At 45.3% G+C, this 17,750-nt stretch overlaps 3 protein-coding genes across 23 annotated transcripts in view, besides 6 other annotated features; 1 reads left to right on the top strand and 2 right to left on the bottom strand.

The window, feature by feature from the left end:
- Positions 1-1,695, bottom strand: part of SYTL3 (synaptotagmin like 3) — a 119,936-nt gene extending 118,241 nt beyond the window's left edge. For 5 of the 7 annotated variants that reach the window (XM_006715606.4, XM_047419556.1, XM_011536254.3 and 2 more), the window contains exon 1: positions 1,397-1,695. The gene's annotated coding sequence lies outside the window, so the exon portion shown is untranslated. The remainder of the gene's footprint in view (positions 1-1,396) is intronic. The other 2 variants (XM_047419552.1, XM_047419557.1) reach the window with 1 other exon arrangement.
- Positions 1,574-2,517: an enhancer, noted in NCBI's record as "H3K27ac-H3K4me1 hESC enhancer chr6:159065146-159066089 (GRCh37/hg19 assembly coordinates)". NCBI's record gives its function as "activates a minimal SCP1, AML or CMV promoter by ChIP-STARR-seq in naive and primed H9 embryonic stem cells {active_cell/tissue: H9 hESC(naive and primed)}" and the evidence as "EXISTENCE:reporter gene assay evidence [ECO:0000049][PMID:30033119]".
- Positions 1,731-1,960: a silencer, noted in NCBI's record as "silent region_17741". NCBI's record gives its function as "represses an Ori minimal core promoter by ATAC-STARR-seq in GM12878 lymphoblastoid cells {active_cell/tissue: GM12878}" and the evidence as "EXISTENCE:reporter gene assay evidence [ECO:0000049][PMID:35858748]".
- On the top strand, positions 1,888-10,157 carry DYNLT1 (dynein light chain Tctex-type 1). 3 transcript variants are annotated; one of them, NM_001291603.2, is made up of 5 exons: positions 1,888-1,949; positions 5,271-5,312; positions 8,737-8,860; positions 9,446-9,503; positions 9,734-10,157. In NM_001291603.2, the coding sequence occupies exons 1-4, from the start codon at positions 1,923-1,925 to the stop codon at positions 9,499-9,501; spliced, it is 249 nt and encodes an 82-aa protein (NP_001278532.1). In that variant the 5' UTR covers positions 1,888-1,922; the 3' UTR covers positions 9,502-9,503; positions 9,734-10,157. The 3 variants fall into 3 exon arrangements, with proteins under 3 accessions (NP_001278532.1, NP_006510.1, NP_001278531.1); NM_006519.4 differs by having other exon boundaries at positions 9,426-9,503; NM_001291602.2 differs by lacking the exon at positions 5,271-5,312 and having other exon boundaries at positions 9,426-9,503.
- Positions 2,121-2,450: a silencer, noted in NCBI's record as "silent region_17740". NCBI's record gives its function as "represses an Ori minimal core promoter by ATAC-STARR-seq in GM12878 lymphoblastoid cells {active_cell/tissue: GM12878}" and the evidence as "EXISTENCE:reporter gene assay evidence [ECO:0000049][PMID:35858748]".
- A 1,044-nt stretch (positions 10,158-11,201) lies between the features above and the next one.
- Positions 11,202-17,750, bottom strand: part of TMEM181 (transmembrane protein 181) — a 98,790-nt gene continuing 92,241 nt past the window's right edge. For 10 of the 13 annotated variants that reach the window (NM_001376817.1, NM_020823.2, NM_001376855.1 and 7 more), the window contains 3 exons: positions 16,812-16,901; positions 15,242-15,308; positions 11,202-14,821 (listed from right to left, as the gene is read on the bottom strand). In NM_001376817.1, coding sequence (NP_001363746.1) covers positions 14,743-14,821; positions 15,242-15,308; positions 16,812-16,901 — 236 coding nt within the window. In that variant the 3' untranslated portion in view covers positions 11,202-14,742. Of the gene's footprint in view, positions 14,822-15,144; positions 15,309-16,811; positions 16,902-17,750 lie in introns of all 13 variants that reach the window. The other 3 variants (XM_011536000.2, XM_047419183.1, NR_164859.1) reach the window with 2 other exon arrangements.
- Positions 14,247-14,408: a silencer, noted in NCBI's record as "fragment chr6:159053255-159053416 (GRCh37/hg19 assembly coordinates)". NCBI's record gives its function as "represses an EF-1alpha promoter that drives an FKBP-Casp9 reporter gene in an ReSE screen in K562 erythroleukemia cells {active_cell/tissue: K562}" and the evidence as "EXISTENCE:reporter gene assay evidence [ECO:0000049][PMID:32094911]".
- Positions 15,087-15,586: an enhancer, noted in NCBI's record as "H3K4me1 hESC enhancer chr6:159052077-159052576 (GRCh37/hg19 assembly coordinates)". NCBI's record gives its function as "activates a minimal SCP1, AML or CMV promoter by ChIP-STARR-seq in naive H9 embryonic stem cells {active_cell/tissue: H9 hESC(naive)}" and the evidence as "EXISTENCE:reporter gene assay evidence [ECO:0000049][PMID:30033119]".
- Positions 15,587-16,088: an enhancer, noted in NCBI's record as "H3K4me1 hESC enhancer chr6:159051575-159052076 (GRCh37/hg19 assembly coordinates)". NCBI's record gives its function as "activates a minimal SCP1, AML or CMV promoter by ChIP-STARR-seq in naive H9 embryonic stem cells {active_cell/tissue: H9 hESC(naive)}" and the evidence as "EXISTENCE:reporter gene assay evidence [ECO:0000049][PMID:30033119]".

Below are 17,750 nucleotides of genomic sequence, written 5' to 3'. Positions count from 1 at the left end.
CAAGCAGCCTTGTGTCAGTCAGGGCTCTGCCCTCCTCTCGCCAGCCCTGTTTCCCTCAAGGAGGCAGGTAGTTGCATCTTCCTCCACTCCCCAGTTCTCTCCATTTGGGTCTGAGGCAAAGCTAACACCCATGAGGGAAATGATTCATGCAATAAATTTTAGGCCGGGCATGGTGGCTCACAGCTATAATCCCAGCACTTTGGGAGGCTGAGGCTGGAGGATCCCTTAAGCCCGGGAGTTTGAGACCTGCCTGGGCAACACAGTGAGATCCCATCTCTACAAAAGACATATTAAAAAAATAGGTGGGTGTGGTGGCTAGTGCCTGGAATCCCAGCTGCTCAGGAGGCTAAGGCAGGAGAATACCTTGAGCCCAGGAGTTCAAGCTCTTAGTGGTCTTTGGATGACTAAACTTCAACACATCTTAGCTCAAAATCTCCGATCACACCACTGCATTCCAGCCCGGGCAACAGAATGACACCCTGTCTCTAAATAAATAAATAAATAAATGTTAATTGTGTAGCTATTATGTGCCAGGCACAATGTGGAAGGAAGGGGATACATTAGTGAATAAAACAGATCCTTCCTGCATGGTACTTAGTTTCTAAATGGAGACACACCATCAACAAGCAACCATAAATACGTTCTTGCAAACTGAGAGAAGTGCTATGAGGAAAATGTACAGGATGCAGGGGTGGAGGATGAGGAGGTCGGCTACCTTAGATGCCGTGGTCACAGAATGGCTCTCTGTAGGAGATTTTGAGCTAAGATATGTTAAAAGTTTAGTCATCCAAAGATCACTAAGATTAGTCTATAGTCTGACAACTTAGTAACTATTGACTTATGGCAGGGCAGAATGGGTGAGGGGAGGGAGGAGTCGTTGGGTTAGGTTCCTCTTGAAGGGCTCTAATAAGACCCTGATAGACCGACCAGGTTACAGTCCGATGGTCATAATCCAGATGAGAGATATCAATCTTTAACTGGGGTCCCGAGCATATGGGGTAGAAATAACAAGGGTTGTTGATGGATTAGATGTGGGATTTGAAGTTTAGGTCTACCAAATCCCTGGGACCCTTGCAGTCAGCTCTTTCTTGGGGAATGGGAAGTGGGTTCCAGCAACCTGAATTCAAGTGCATGACGAAACCAGAAAAAGCAAACGCCAAAATCAAAACTCGGAGCCTCAGAATACCTGCCAATAGATGCATATGCCCCAGCTTTCCGTGGAGGGCAGTTTACCAGAGCCCAGTGCAATTCCTAATTTCCATAAAGAACCCACATACAAATAAAGTCTGTCTAGTTCACTATGGTTAAGGTAGTCAGGAAGTGTGCCACATTTTACAAAATTTTCCACCCAAAATGTTTTTTTTTAATGGTGCTTAAAGGAAAAATTCTCATTTACCTGGAAAACTTAACTCCCCAAAGGGAAGTTTCGTTCAGATAGCTAAAGCATGCCAATCCCAGTCCCCAAGGGAACTGCAACAACGTCTCACCGGGCGCACTGCCTTCAGCAGTCACTTTCGAGTTTGTTGCCAGGTGTCCGAGCGGGTTTGAACGTCCGCGTCAATCCACACAGTACAAACCGGAGGAGGGGCCGGGACCACGCTTCCCCTCCAGGACTGCCTTTTGTACGTGTGTTTTGTTTCTGTTGCTAAGGTTTAGGGAGCTGCCCGGCTACCCTCACGGATTCCCATGGAAACTACCACCTCCCAGAGGACAGGAGGAGAGGCGAATTCAGGGTCCACCCACGGGCCCCGCCCAGGGATGGGGTCACTGAGGGTCCGGGCAGCGAAGGGCGGGGCCCGGGAGCTGGGCATGGGCGAGGCAGGCGCGAGAGGAGAGGGGCGTGGCAGGTCCGGGGCGGGGCCTGAGTGCGCCTGCGCAGTCCGCGCCACTCAGGGAGCCGGAGGGGACGCGCCGGAGGAAAGATGGAAGACTACCAGGCTGCGGAGGAGGTAACCGCCGGGTCGGCGACGGAAGGGTGGAGGCCTAGAGCCCTGGCCGCGGAAGGACACGCGGTCCTGCCCGGAAAGGCCTGGCTGCCCACCTCCTTCAGCTAGGCCAGTCTCGGCAGCCCACGGCCTGAGCTTCCCGGTCGCCGGCGCTCCGCCCGGCCCCATTCTGCCCGGACATTGCCGCCGTTTCCCCGGCGCGGGGGGCGGGAAGGGGATTGAGCTTCTTCCCGCGCGGGGAGGCACCGGGCGTGACTCGGAGAGAGCGCCCCGGTGAGCGGTGCCGAGAAACCTTCCCGCAGGGCCTCGCCTCCGGCCCGCAGCCAAGCTCGCCGAGAGGATGACATCACCGCCCCTTGCTCTGCGGGGCTGACCCCAGCCCCAGCCCCAGCCTGGAGCGGGGCGCGGCGGCCGGGCTGGGAGCGCCGAGGCTTGGACGTCTCCCCGCGGAGGTGCGGGTGACGCTCCCGCCGCCAGCCCCTCCGCCCCGGGCTGGCGTCCCGGCCATCCCGCGCCTTTGTCTCGGGCCTCACCTGGTTCTGCAACGCTGGGAATGAGTAGCACATTTCATTTCCGTTTAATATGTCTGTAAGAAAGCTCATTGTTGTGGGGAAAAAATCATCTTTTATGCCTCCTTGAGGAAGTAGGATAAAGCCCACGATGTCGCCAAGCAGAAGACACCCATCGGCACCGTGTGCGTTAAATGGCTTTCCTTCAAGCTCACGGTCATTCGGGGAATAGAGCTGATGGGCGCAGCTGAGATACAACACTCATTTTCTTCTTACTGAATAATCCTTGTTGAAATTCAGATAGAGCCCTATGGATTTATTATGCAGCCTGTCAAAAATATAAACTATAGATACATTTGGTAAGGTTGGATATCTTACCATTTATGAAATTTAGTGGCTGGGCGCAGTGGCTCACGCCTGTAATCCCAGCACTTTGGGAGGCCTAGGCGGGCGGATCACCTGAGGTCAGGAGTTCGAGAGCAGCCTGACCAACATGGAGAAACCCCGTCTCTTTTAAAAATACAAAATTAGCCGGGCGTGGTGGCGCATGCCTGTAATCCCAGCTATTCGGGAGGCCGAGGCAGGAGAATCCCTTGAACCTGGGAGGCAGAGGTTGCCGTGAGCCAAGATCGCGCCATTGCACTCCAGCCTGGGCAACAAGAGCGAAACTCCGTCTCAAAAACCAAAAAAAAAGAAAAAAATTTCGTTTAAGGAGGAATGTTTTCAGGGAAAATAAAACTAAAACTTAAGGACTGATTCTAGAGTTTCAGTTTTGATCTGATTTCCTAACTAGCACACACTTCCTGTGACAGTGGCATAATCAGTGTTTGAATGCTGATGGCAACCAAGTGAATAATGACGAGAAGAGCTGGTTCAGGAGCAGTTGGCAAAGAAAAAAGCCTTTCCCCTTAAACTGTTACTAATATAATATTGGAAAATGTCTTGTATTACAGTAATATCGAGTAAAACTTCTAAAAAAGAAATCGCTTTGTAAAGGAAAGCGCTTAATACTGCAGTCCGATTCTGACTCCCACAAATAAGGTGGCTAAGTGGCTTCATTATTCGAGATCTCAATCGCATATGTGTAAAATGAAGGGGCTGGACAGAGTGATGAGTGTTCTACCTGGGATGGAGGCCCTGGGAGGTGGAGACCATGGCTGTCTTGTAGTAGGCATGTCTTAGGTATTTACTGAATGGCCCGTTCTGGTCCTCCCACCAGCCTCTTAGCAGCCTTTTCTGCATCTCTTCTAACTTCGTGTAGATGCCTGGGCCTTTGTAACTATTCTCTCAACTCACCATTCATCTTTCTTGGAGACGTTAAAACTATCCACTGGATTCAATACAACTCTGCTTTCCACTAAAAATTCTTTAAAATGTCCCTCAACCTTTTTCGTACTGTAACCATATGGGAGGTGATACAGTGCCTTTCCTTTGTGATTAAGGTCACGGTAGTCACTTGGAAGGATCCTTTAAGCTTCCAGAAATGACTTAATCTCTAAGATATTGCAAATTGTTCTTCACTCAGTGAGTTGGTTTTGTTTCCAAGTCCGACTTCTGAGTACAGCAAGTGAGGTGGCTTCGGGCAGTCAGCTCCTGAACCCCCTAAAAAGAAAGGGCAGGGCCTGCAGTGGACAGCAGCCAGACAGGGAGGAAGACTCACTGCCAAGTCAGGGTTCTCTGCCTTGATTCCCTCAGGATGCACGTTGACTGAGGGCCCCAGGGGTTGCCCTCTCGAAGGCGTGTCCAGAGCTACGTACCTTTCCTGGGACTCAGCAGTAACTTTAAACGCTTGTGCTCATGTGAAGAGCACATTGGCAGGCAAGTGCCTGACTAATGTTATTTTCAGGATGACCTTTTACCCATTCAGATCTACCATGTGTAAAAGGAAAACTATACTCCTGGCACTAGATTCCTGCAGGCAGCCCACCTCCTGAGTCATCCAGACACTGACAGAGAACAGCCATGCTGGCAGCTGGTGGTTAGTCCTGGAGTCGGAGGGCAGCACTGGGAAAGAAAAATAATTACCTGGAGATAATGTAATCATCGTACATTTTACAAGTAATGGTGCTTTAAAAAAATCTCCTCAAGGTCAAACTGATCCTCCTAATCAGTTTACATCATGGAAGAGAGAATTACATCTTAAATGGATTACTTCAGCAGCTTCAGTTAATTTATACAAAAATCAACCAACTCATTAAGCCTCTCTATTGGTTAATGATTCTAGCAGCCAGTTGAAATGGAAGAAGAGAATGAATTCTAGTTTAAAGTGAAGTCTTAGATTGTGGCATGATTAAAACAAAACAGGGCCAGGTGTGGTGGCTTACGCCTGTAATCCCAGCATTTTGGGAGGCTGAGGCGGGAGGATCACCTGAGGTCAGGAGTTCGAGACCAGCCTGGCCAACATGATGAAACCCCATCTCTACTAAAAATACGAAAATTAGCCGGGTGTGGTGGAGGGCACCTGTAATCCCAGCTACTTGGGAGGCTGAGGCAGGAGAATCACTTGAACCTGGGAGGCAGAGATTGCAGTGAGCTGAGATTGCGCCACTGCATTCCAGCCTGGGCTACAGAGCGACACTCCGTCTCAAAAATAAATAAATAAAAATAAAACAATACCTTTAAATTATGTGCATGTATTCTAGTCTTCTGGTTTCTGAAGACTGTAATGCCATCCTTGGTAAAGCTGAACAGTCTAGTTAGATTATTTCTAAGGTCTTCATTTCTACATTATGTTCATTACCTACATTTGCATTTATCAATGTAGTGGAAATATCTTTTAAATAAATCAAACTTAACTGAATGTTCTTCCTTACAGACTGCTTTTGTTGTTGATGAAGTGAGCAACATTGTAAAAGAGGTAAGAGGAGAAATGCTCACTTCTTAAATGTTTAATGGCTTATATTAGAGAAAATAATGTGTTTTAAATACTATCTTGGAATTGTTTCGACTGAGTCTGTGTGTTTTGGTGTTTCAAATAACAGTTTTTACTTCAGTAAATAGCTAGATAAGAGTTGCTTCTATATTATGTAAATTACATATTTTAAATCAGATAAGGAGTTTTATGTACATAGCATTATTACTGCATATCACCAAGATTTGATTCTATAATCTTTTAAGCATAAAAGAATCCTGGTATACAAATAAATGTCTCCAGGGTTGAATGAAGAAAGAGTGAGTATAAGAAAATTGAACAATCAATTTCCAGTTATTCTGGACCTAGTGATCCAGTTTGGGGCCTATTTGCTTACTTTTCTTACATTCCTAAATTTCACACTTTATTGTGTTGTTGATCATGAAGAGGAAGAGAGACAGAAGGGATGTTTGTTACTCATTCAGAAAGTACACACTGAGGGAGCGTGCAGGGCATAGACCCTTCTGGAGTTTACAGCTGAGGGGCAGGCAGGGCAGACACATCAAACAGTCCTGCTGGAAGGTGTCAGCCTGCATTTGCTGTGTGGTAAGTGCCACTAGTGGTGGTGCTGTGAGAGCACTGAACTGGGAATGTGACCCACCCAGGGAGTTCAGGGACCATTTCGAGCTGAAATCTGCAGAATGAGAAGTAGGGGTAATGCAGTAAAAAGAGGGGACAAGGCCCCCTGAGACTGGGAAGTGGGGGCAGTGCATGGTGTGTGAGGGAGTGAAAGGAGGTGGGTGTGGCTGGAGCGGTGCTGAGAGCTAGGGGCTCATTCCTACCTAGGGTAGGAATGAAGCCAGAAAGAGTTTTCCTCATCAGCTTCCCTGCCTTCCCTGGGTAAAATGGGGCACAGATACTAAAGCCATTGGCTAAAAGAAAACTATTAGATGATCTGAATTTAATGATACTGTTTGGGGTTTCAGATGTAATTTAGAATTTAATGTAAATTATTGACTAGTGTTTGATAAAAAACCGCAACCTATGTTTGTGATCAGTATCCAAAGGCAAAATGATTTTGTTTGACCATTTACATTGTTCAGCATCAGGAGTGACTTTCTGGTTGCTTTGCAGGATCTGTACGTTTGGTTTTCATGGTTTTTCTAAATACACAGTTTCACGTGGAACACAGCAGGGGGCAGGAAGGTGGGTGGATTACACCAGAACTGGGAACAGTGGAGGGGGCTTGTTGGGAAGTCTAGTTCTGCCGCAGTTGTTTTCTGCCTTATCTTTGACTTGGTTACCAGCTTTCAATTAGCAAGTGCAATTGAAAGTACACATTTCCATGCTGGGCGCGATGGCTCACACCTGTCATCCCAGCACATTGGGAGGCCGAGGTGGGCGGATCATGAGGTCAAGAGATCGAGACCATCCTGTCCAACATGGTGAAACCCCGTCTCTACTAAAAATACAAAAATAAGCCAGGCTTGGTGGCGCATGCCTGTAGTCCCAGCTCCTTGGGAGGCTGAGGCAGGAGAATCGCTTGAACCCGGGAGATGGAGGGTGCAGTAAGCCAAGATCACGCCACTGCAATCCAGTCTGGGCGACAGAGCAAGACTCTGTCTTAAAAAAACAAAACAAAACAAACACATTTCCAATCCACATGGAAACATGAGGTGACATTGCAGTGTTACTTGAACTTGTGTCACTGGCCTCAACAGCTTTTTTGCCGCCGCAATAGGTAATTCTGTACTCAAGTGACCCTAAATATTGGGTAGTAGTCAATTTGCGCAGGTCCAAAATTGGTGGAGGGTTCCCTCCTCCTTGAAAAACTGAATTTCAAAGTATGTGCGGAGGGAGAGCTGGCGGAGGGAGAGGTTTACCTTCAACAAAGCCTCCCCCACCCTTTGACGGGAGAGGTTTAGCTTGAACAAAGCCCCCCCTACCCTTTGACAATGCCCAGGTCTAGTAATACTGCTGTTCTCTTAAACCGGGACTTCTGGCCCCCCAGCCCTCTTGTAGCCTCTGAGCTGGGAGGGAGCACAGTGGCCGAGGACAAGAAGTAAGCCAGCCCTATGTGTAACGTGACTACTCAAGAGTCTCAGGGAGATGATCAGCAGGTCAGTGGGTAGAAATCAGAGTGACCTAGGGAGGTTTTAGGTCCTCAAAAGCAAGGTCGCCAGATCTAAGCCCCAGGCATCAGATCCCAGTCCATCACCACCATGCACAGCTCAGATCCCTGGACTGCTGGTTTGCTCTGCCTGTCTGAGGACAGACCTTGGCCCTCACTGAATGTTGTTATTTTCACTTTAGGTCATAACTGTCATAGAAACTCAGGTTCCTGGTTTCCAGCACAGCAAGTTAGGGGTAGAGAATAAAGTTGCTGAGATGCAAGCACACTGGCATCCATGTGAAAGGGGAGCTGACAATGAAAAACTCAGAAAATCATACAATGGCAATATCATAATGATAAGCTTAGCAAGAGCAGCGACAATGAGCTTGCATTGTCAGATAACCCCCAAAGAATACAGCATAGATAAAGAAGTAAACGTATAATAAAGAAAAAAAGTTGGGCTGGGTGCTGTGGCTTATGCCTGTAATCCCAGCACTTTAGGAGGCTGAGGCAGGAGGATCACTTGAGCCCAGGCATTTGAGAGCAGCCTGGGCAACAGAGCAAGACCCCATCTCTACAAAAAACTAGCCAGGCGTGGTGGCACATGCCTGCAGTCCCAGCTACTGGACAAGCTGAGGTGGGAGGATTGCTTGAGCCCAGGAGGGAAGCTGAGGTGGGAGGATTGCTTGAGCCCAGGAGGTCAAGGCTGCAGTGAGCCAAGATTCCATCACTGCTCTCCAGCCTGGGCAACATGACACCCTGCCTCAGAAAAGTAAAAATAAAAAAATCTCATCATAAACCTAAAATAAGTTTTGGAATATAAAGGGCTTTTAGTTATCTGAAAAATGCACTTAATGTGGTAACATGTTCTCAGACAATGCTGGATAAAAGTATTTTTTAATATATGATTATTTGGATAGCTTTGTATATTGTCAGTTGTACAAATACAATTCATCTAATATATAGTATTAGTGTATGTTAGGTAGTAGTAGATAAAAGTAATATACTTTTAAGAAATGAATAGGCAAAATACTTTCTAGCCTCAACAGGAAAAAAAATGTATTAATAGTAGTGAACATGAAATGTGATTATTAGGTCAAAATGTGTAAATAATTTGACAGACTATGAATTTTTGAAGCAAATTTCAAACTTATTTAAATGAAATATAATGCTATTAAAAGTATATTTGCAAAGGCACCCTCATGATTAAAAATAAACTTTTCATAAATCACTTCTTGGGGTGCCGTCAGTTCCTGATTGAAAGGTGGTGTGGGTGCATTTGGTTAACCGGGACGCGCTTTGTGCTTTGTTTTCTAGGCTATAGAAAGCGCAATTGGTGGTAACGCTTATCAACACAGCAAAGTGAACCAGTGGACCACAAATGTAGTAGAACAAACTTTAAGCCAACTCACCAAGCTGGGAAAACCATTTAAATACATCGGTAATGGAGTCTTGTTTCTTTTATATTTGCGGGATGGTTTTTTAACACTGATCAGAGGGGCATCCAGTACCAGAAACAACAGCTAACGTGGCTCAACTCAAGGAAGGCTCCTGGTGGGAGTCGGTCGTGTGTGTAGTATACGTTAGCGTACGCTTGACCATTTGGCTGCTGGTACAATTGCAGATCGTATGTGAAGCGGGATCTTACAGGAGGTCCCATCAGATGCTTTTAGAACAAGTGAAGCATAGAGGAAGTGTGGACAGCCCCCAGCTGACAGTGGCTCAACTTAGAATTTTTCAACTTTGATGGATTTACCAGGGTATTAAGTGCATTTGCAACTTACATTTTCATATATTGTTGATTTATGATGGGTTTATGGGATGTTGTAAGTCAAGGAGCACCTATAATTTGTCAATATAGTGAGACAAGGCAATCTGTCCCTATAATTTTTATCGAGAACATCAACCACGTGGAGCTACATACATTGTACGTTTGCTAAAAGTGGACAGAATGACATTTGTGTTACCCAGTAGACTTCTCTAACAAAAATTTGTTTTAACTTAAGTGACCTGTGTAATTATGCAGAAGAATGGAGCTGGATTACACACAGCAAGTTCCTGCTTCTGGGACAGCTCTACTGACGGTATGATTTTCATTCATGTTTGTGAAGTTTTGTTGTGTGAAATATATGACTGGAAGTTTCCTATCTTTGAATGCAATGCATGTTTATCACCTTTTAAAACATTTAATAATAGACTTGCCAAGGTTCTTTGTGTAGCATAGAGATGGGTACTTGAATGTTGGCCTTATTGTGAGTAAAACGTCGTCCCCCAGCTTTCCCTGCCGTAAATGCTGCTCTCTTCCCTCCCGCAGGGAGCTGCACTGTGCGATGGGAGAATAAGACCATGTACTGCATCGTCAGTGCCTTCGGACTGTCTATTTGACCTGCAGTCCAGCCTATGGCCTTTCTCCTTTTGTCTCTAGTTCATCCTCTAACCACCAGCCATGAATTCAGTGAACTCTTTTCTCATTCTCTTTGTTTTGTGGCACTTTCACAATGTAGAGGAAAAAACCAAATGACCGCACTGTGATGTGAATGGCACCGAAGTCAGATGAGTATCCCTGTAGGTCACCTGCAGCCTGCGTTGCCACTTGTCTTAACTCTGAATATTTCATTTCAAAGGTGCTAAAATCTGAAATCTGCTAGTGTGAAACTTGCTCTACTCTCTGAAATGATTCAAATACACTAATTTTCCATACTTTATACTTTTGTTAGAATAAATTATTCAAATCTAAAGTCTGTTGTGTTCTTCATAGTCTGCATAGTATCATAAACGATTTCTTCATAGTGAGTGGCTACAGAATCTATACAACCAGACCAGGCGCAGTGGCTCACACCTGTAATCCCACCACTTTGGGAGGCTGAGGCAGGCGGATCATGAGGTCAGGAGATCAAGACCATCCTGTCTAACACGGTGAAACCCCGTCTCTACTAAAAATACCAAAAATTAGCCAGGTGTGGTGGCGGGCGCCTGTAGTCCCAGCTACTCGGGAGGCTGAGGCAGGAGAGTGGCATGAACCCAGGAGGCAGAGGTTGTAGTGAGCCAAGATCGTGAGCCAAGTTCCCGCCACTGCACTCCAGCCTGGGTGACAAGAGCAAGAGTCCGCCTCAAAAAAAAAAAAAAAAAAAAAAAAAAAAAATATATATATATATATATACAACCAAAAAAAAAAAAGTTCTGCTGTGGTCCTCTCCATGATGTACTCATTTTACCCGTGGGACCAGGATCCTGACGGCTCTGCTGGGTTCTGGTTAGATTCCTACCCCTCGGCATCACACCTCCCATTCTTAAGCCCTCCTCTTCTAGAGGTGAAGGGGTGGGAGGTGGGCAAACCAATTTCTATTCTCTTAGCCAGAGAGCTCTAACTCACACTTGGCCCAAAGCTGTAACACCTTAACTGTTAATCCTGTGTTCTCTGTAGGGCTCACAAATTGTCTTAGTACTTCAGAGCTTACAAAATGGTTTTCACAATCATTCATTCTGTGTCTTCAACAATTTGCAGTCATTTAAAAATCTCAGAAAATGTGTTTGGAGGTTATCTGATTGGTTTAAAGTCACACATCCAAGTTGGGAGCTGGGCCCAAACCCACGCCTTGTCTCCATCTTGAGTGCTCTTCCCCAGGCCACATTAGACATGGCAATAAAGATACCTCCGTGCCTGCCTGCTGAAATGGAAAAGCCCTGCCGTTGTCTCCAAAGCCGCTTTATTAAAGCATTTATGTCTGCAAGGCCAAATTAACTCCACACACAAAGAGCAAACAAATCAAGACACATAGAAGTGAATATTAAAAATTTATTAACATTTCCCAGAAAGGTAGTGTCAGAATTAAGCCATTCGCAAAAGACGAATTTGCCATAAACAAACATTCACTTTTGCCTGATGACAGCAACACTGTGATGGGGTGGCACTGTGCCCCACGGACAGGTCCACAACTGAACACATGGCTCTATCTCTCCTTTTGGGCTTAAAGTTTAGTGTTATTTTATTTTACAAATATTTACAGTCATTTTGTAAAAAGGCAGTTTTTAGTAGCAGAAAATTCTTCTGTTTTATAGTATGGTATCACAGTTACTAGCGTATCTCCAATGTCAAACCAAGATAAACAGCATCACAAGATGTCACAGACTAATACAACTTCCCTTTGGCCAGGGGAAAAGATCTGTATCTTTTTTTTTTTTTCTTCAAAAGTCTAACCTCTAAGGCAACCGGTTTCTAAAACCCTCAAAATACACAAATACACTTTCATGTTTTAAGTCTCATCTTCACTAAATGTTCAGACACATCCGTTTTAATTATCCCTTTTATGAGGGTCTGTGTTTTTCCTGTGATAAAGGATTCAGGAAATAATTTACCACATTATAATCTATTTAACATAACTACCCTCAGTAAATAGTTCATAAAATACTTGAGGCTGGTGACATTTGTCTTGTAACCTGCTCATTTAGTGGGTTGGGTTTACAAAATGTATCTAAGCTTTTATTGCAATCTGCAATTATGTACATTAACAACCTTACAAACCTTGAACATAGTATATATATCCCCTTCTCTAGCCTTTCAAATGGGGCTTAAGAGAGAGAAAATGGCACCACTTCACTGCTATAATGATTTAATAATAAATCAAGCAGACTTATCATCCACATGGATAACGAAGCTCTCCCTAGGGAAACTGAAATACCTCTGGTCATCTTCCAGGTTCTCCTAGACTGGACCAGTATTTAAAAAATCCCAAAGATGATGTTACTCAAGCCATTACCATGAAGGAACTAAAGTCAGCCCTTTAAGTTCGCAAAACTTTAACATAACTACCCTCAGTAAATAATTTATTTTTTCTTCAACAATTTTCTTGCTACTGTCAAAAGTTTCTGGCAGACTTTAGTGTTTTAACCTGATACCTATGGTACATATTCTACATGCCAAGTGCTAGAGAGTTTAAGCAAAATTTTACATGGGGTATGTAATATGTCGGTATTTATGATATACCAGGGAAGACAAGTTGAAAATACATGACTTAGTAAGAACGATTTTCCCCTTAAGTACTTTCTAACTTTTTTTCTTATTTCCCACTTAGTTACAAAAAGTAAATAAATAATCCTATATTTTTCATTTCATTGATGCATGAAGACTCAATGTATGAAGATAATAGTCATCAGTTTATAATTACACTATAGGACAAAGTTTTAAAAAGTTCTAGTGTGTGTATGGCTAAATGCCTCAAATATTTTACATTTACTGATAAATAACAGCATTCCAAAATCATGGACAATTATGATTAAAAGTTGTAAACCATATCACAGAATATGTTAATCAGCACATCTTCATCAGTTTACATAAAGTTATAGTAGTCTTATTAGAAGTTGTAAAATTTGGTAACAGAAAATTTTTTTCAATACACAGAATAAAAAAAACATCATTGCAAATTTAAAAATCATGTAAACTTGAATTACCCTTGCAGTAAGTTGTCTTAAACATTCATATTTACAAGGTTTTTAAAACAAATGTGAATAGAATCCATATTAAAAGTACATTATCATTAAAGTTTAAATTAAAAGGAAAGATACAAAGGAAAGTCATAACAAATAGTTTCTCATGAACATCTCTAAGGTCCTACCTAGCACTACTTAACGTGGATGATAACGTGAAGCTCTGCATGGTAATCTGAGAGTCAATGCATAGATGAAGAAAAAAAGTAGGTACTGCTTGCGTTGCGGAACTATCATCTTCTGGACCTCAATTGCCAAGACGGCATCAGTCAGGTTGCCCACAGTTACCAGATGTTAACAGAAGTGTGACTGTAGAGGTCAAGAGGAAAGCACGGGAGACGTCCACATGAGACTCTATATGGAGTCCCTGACTGAAAGGAACGGGGAAGCTCCAGGGCCTTCTATGATGCCACAGATTCAGCAGTGCCAAGGACTTTACAGAACAGGTCGTCCCTACCTGACCGCCATGTGGACACATGGAGGACAGGGAACCCCTTCCGGAAGCACGAGTTGCCTTCTACCCAAATACGTTTTCCATGAACCATTTAAAACATTTTACTTGCTTTTCATTTTGCTTCCAAATATGAGTTTTAAAAACTTTTGGCCAATAAATAATCTAAAATATTCTATCAATCTTTCATGTAGCTTTATTTATTTATGACACGGGTTCTCGCTCTGACACCCAGGCTGGAGTGCAGTGGTGCAATCATGGCTCACTGCAGCCTTGACCTCCAGGGCTCAAGCAATCCTCCCACCTCAGCCTCCTGAGTAGCTGGGACTATGGGCATGCCCCAGCATGCCCAGCCAACTTTCTAAATGTTTTATAGAGACGGGGTCTCCCTGTGTTGCCCAGGCTGGTCTCAAACTCCTGGGCTCAAGTGATCCTCCCACCTTGGCCTCCCAAAGTGTTGAGATTACAGATGTGAGCCACTGCACCTGGCCCCTCATTTAGCTTTTACTTACATAAATAAATAAAGCTCTATGGCATTTCATATTCAACAGAATTGCAGAAACTGCTATTTACTGGAATGGTAAGGGTTCCTCTCCTGCCCATACCTCCCACAGGCAAATCCATTTAATCATGTGTGTACACACAGGCCCCTGAAAAGCACCATGGCAGTAAGACCTTCCCCACATGAGTTGGTAACCTGTAAATTATCTTAGCCTTTCCTTATTCAACTTATCAAACCCTCCTCAGAACTCCACACTATTACTTCCCCTTTGGTGACGTGAAGGGTTGGAACCCCAGCATCTCCCATTCCCGATGAGTCATAACTCACACACTGCACAAAACGCAGTCCACATAACTGACCAATCACTTCAGCCACCTGGTTACCCAGGGCACTGGCCACTCAACGAGGAAGGACTGCCCTGAAGCAGCCACAGATAAGGCTTCCCTTTGAGTTTAAAGGGTCACAAAACAGTACCATGGAAAAGGGAAGAAAGAGGGTGATGCTGTCACGCTGAGGACCTAGTCACAGGCTGCCCGTGAACTTGGAATCAGTGAATGATTACAGGAAAAAAAAGTACATAATTCACTGTACTAAAAACGTGAAATTTCCTCATCACTGAAAACACGCTCATCTGAAATCTCTGTAAAAAAGGATTTGGCTGTTGAAACTTGTTATCAATGCCTCTTCTCGTAGCCACCATGACAATAAATTTGGCTAAACATTTAAATTTACCCTCAGTTTTGGTTTTCCTTTAAAAAAATATGTAAACAAATGAACAGGAAATCTCTGCTTGTAAGAAAAATCTGAATATAACAGGGGAAGGTCAGCAGACGGTCACCGGGGAAAGCATCCAGGCATCTTGTCGCCTCGCTGGGCTGGCCGGGGCTCAGTCACTATCTGACTCCTCCTTGTACTTGGCCCGGATGGCCTGGCCGTTCTGCAGCGGCATTTCCTCATAGTCACTCCTGTGAGCAAAGAGACCTTTGAGACCGTCTAACTTCTGACAGCTCTTTATTTTCCTCTTCCACACTGACACACCATTCCAGCAGGAATTAAATCATAGCTTCGCTCTTTCAATTTTCTATCACCAACTGCTACTGCTCACCCCGTCCTCCTCTCCCTGACCCCCAGTTCCCAGGGCCCATCAGTCCAGAAAGCACAGTTCTTCCCGTGGCCAGCACGCCCTACAGGTAGCCAGCAGAAAGGACTACTACCACATCTAAGCCTGAATACTGTGAAAACAGAAAACCACGAGCCACTTGACACTCCAAGGTAAATGCCTTCATACCTTGAAAATAATTTTAGAAGAGTAACCCATTCAGAAACATGCAAGGCCGTGCCGGGATGCCCAAGGTGTGCCGGCCTTCTAACGGACAGGGACTTACCCATAAATCACATCATCATCCGAGTCATTCAGCATGGAGAAGGCAGGATTGTCTTTCAGCTGGGACTCTGAAAACCAACAAGAGCATTTGCATCTCAAGCAATTGACGTGATGAGCCTGGACAGGCAGGATGCTGTCCCGGACAAAGGAAGGGAGTTGGAAAGAACTGGACTCAAATCGCAGAGCTGCCATGTCTGTATAAACCTGAACACATCTCGTGAGGCTGTTTTCTCATCTACAAGACAGGGCTGGCCTGGCCTGCCTGGCAGGGACGTCCTGAAGGCTGAGGGAGGCGGCCTGTGGGAAGGAGCAGGCAGGCTGCCATTGCCCACGCACGAGCTGCCTCCTGTTGACACAAGGAGTGGGGAGCTGAACATAGGCCCCAGGAGAGGTGGCTCTGCCCTGCCTGCCCCCGCCCAGTCCTTGGACGTGCAGCGAGCTGCTGCTTCTGTAAAACGGGCATGATTATATGTTTATCATAAAGTTGCTGTGAAGCTTAAGTGAGACGCCGTTTGTGAAGGTGCTGGGCAAGTGCTAGCCCACTATAAGATGTCGGGGGGTGCGGGGGGCTGCCTATGTTCTAGAGAGTTCCCATCCTTTTCATTCCCTGTGCAAGAGGGTTGTTTTGGTTTCACTATTAGGTGACTTTTTGTATGTTTTGGCTTTTTTTTTTTTTAATGGTAACAACACTACTACAGATGCTCCTTGACTTACGATGGGGTTATGTCCTGATAAACCCATCGTCAGGTTGAAAATATCGTGAAGTCAAAAACGCATCAACTACAGCTAAGGCACCGAACATTGCAGCTTAGCCTATTCTGCCTTAAGTGTTACTACATTAGCCTATAGTTGGGCAAAATCATCTAATGCAAAGCCTATTTTATTTAATTTTTTTTTAAGAGACAGGGTCTCATTCTGTCACCGAGGTTGGAGTGTAGTGGTGTCATAGCTCACTGCAGCCTCTCCTCTTGGGCTCAAGCGACCGTCCCTCCTCAGCCAACCGAGTAGCTAGGACTACAGGCACATGTCACCACACCTGTCTAATTTTTAAATTTTTGGAGAGATGGGGTCCCTATTTTGTTCCCCAGGCTGGTTTCAAACTCCCAGCCTCAAACAATCCTCCCGCCTTGGCCTCCAGAAGTGCTGGGATCAAAGGATCAAAGCCTGTTTTGTAATAAATGGTGACTCTCTCATGAATTTGCTGAATGCTGTACTGAAAGTGAAAAACAGAATGGTTGTTTGGGTATTCAAAGTGTGATTTCTCCTGAATGTGCATTGCTTTTGCATCATTGTAAAGTCAAAAAATCCCAAACTGAACAGCAAAAGCTGGGGACTGACACTAATAAAATGAGTGTGTCAACTCTGTGGGAATGACACAACGCAGGTTCTACATATGCTGGGCCCCAACTCACCTCAGAGCTCGACATTTCAACTCACTCTCTCTCTGCCAAGAGAAGTCACTGGGAATCACAGCGCCCACATGAATGGGAAACCCGGGAAGTGGGTCGTGGATGAACACAGGCCTCTGTGCCCGCTAACTGGCCAGCAGTCCAGACCCCAGGGTGGCTTACCATAGAGGGCATTCTTCGATGGAGAATATACAAAGGCCAAGGTGTAGAGATAGAAGTTCAACAGGCCATAGAAAGATAAGAACTCGGCTGGTGGTGCTGTCAAGGGAAGGAACGCGGCATCTGGACACATCAGTCAGAGGCTCTGCCTACAGCCCGACCACTCCTCCCGCCATCAGCAGCCCCTTCTAGTGCCAAGCACCCGCCAGTGCCCGGGGGTCCATTACCCAGACGTCAGGACTCCACAGTTCAAGCCCACAGCCAGGGGTCACAAGCACTCTTCGAGGTCACAGTAAATAACAGGTGAACTATGGCCTCTCACATCAGTGGAAACCTGGACCCACTGAGCCATCTGGTGGCGCTCCTGTCACCAGCACCGAGGGCAGGGCCAGAAGAGATCAAGTTACATGAAAAGGGCAGGAAGGCCACGGGCATACGGTGAATCAAGGTCTCTAGACACAATAATGAAATAAAGAATTGGAAACAAACTCTCAAACCAATTGCTCTGAACATTTCTGGATTACAGACCCCTATGAAAATCAGATAAAAGCTTAGTGTGAAATTCAGTCACAAAACTTTGAAAAAATCGTATATTAATTCATGCATTAACTGGGACATAAGAAATCCCAAAGAAAGAACCCAGGATCTAAAGGATTAACTCTTGAAGTGTCCCCAACAAAGAGTGGAAAGCACATACCTAACCTCTCCGACTTCTGGGCGAGGCCAGGGCTCCCGGGAGGCAACAGCCCTGCGCCACTGGCCTCAGGCACAGCGGGAATCGAAGGGGGTCCCAGTATTTTCTGAGCTCTTCCCTACAGACACAGGCTCAACCTGCCACAACTGTCATACCCTTGGATACATCTCCGTGATGATGAGAGAGATATCCCGGGGGGAGACAGGAGGCTCACGGCAGCCCTCAGCCACCCCACAGTGCTCTGCTGG

This window comes from Homo sapiens, chromosome 6, assembly GCF_000001405.40.
Source record: "Homo sapiens chromosome 6, GRCh38.p14 Primary Assembly".
Taxonomy (NCBI): domain Eukaryota; kingdom Metazoa; phylum Chordata; class Mammalia; order Primates; family Hominidae; genus Homo; species Homo sapiens.
Note: the sequence above shows the minus strand (reverse complement) of the source record. Positions and strands in the feature narration are given on the sequence as shown.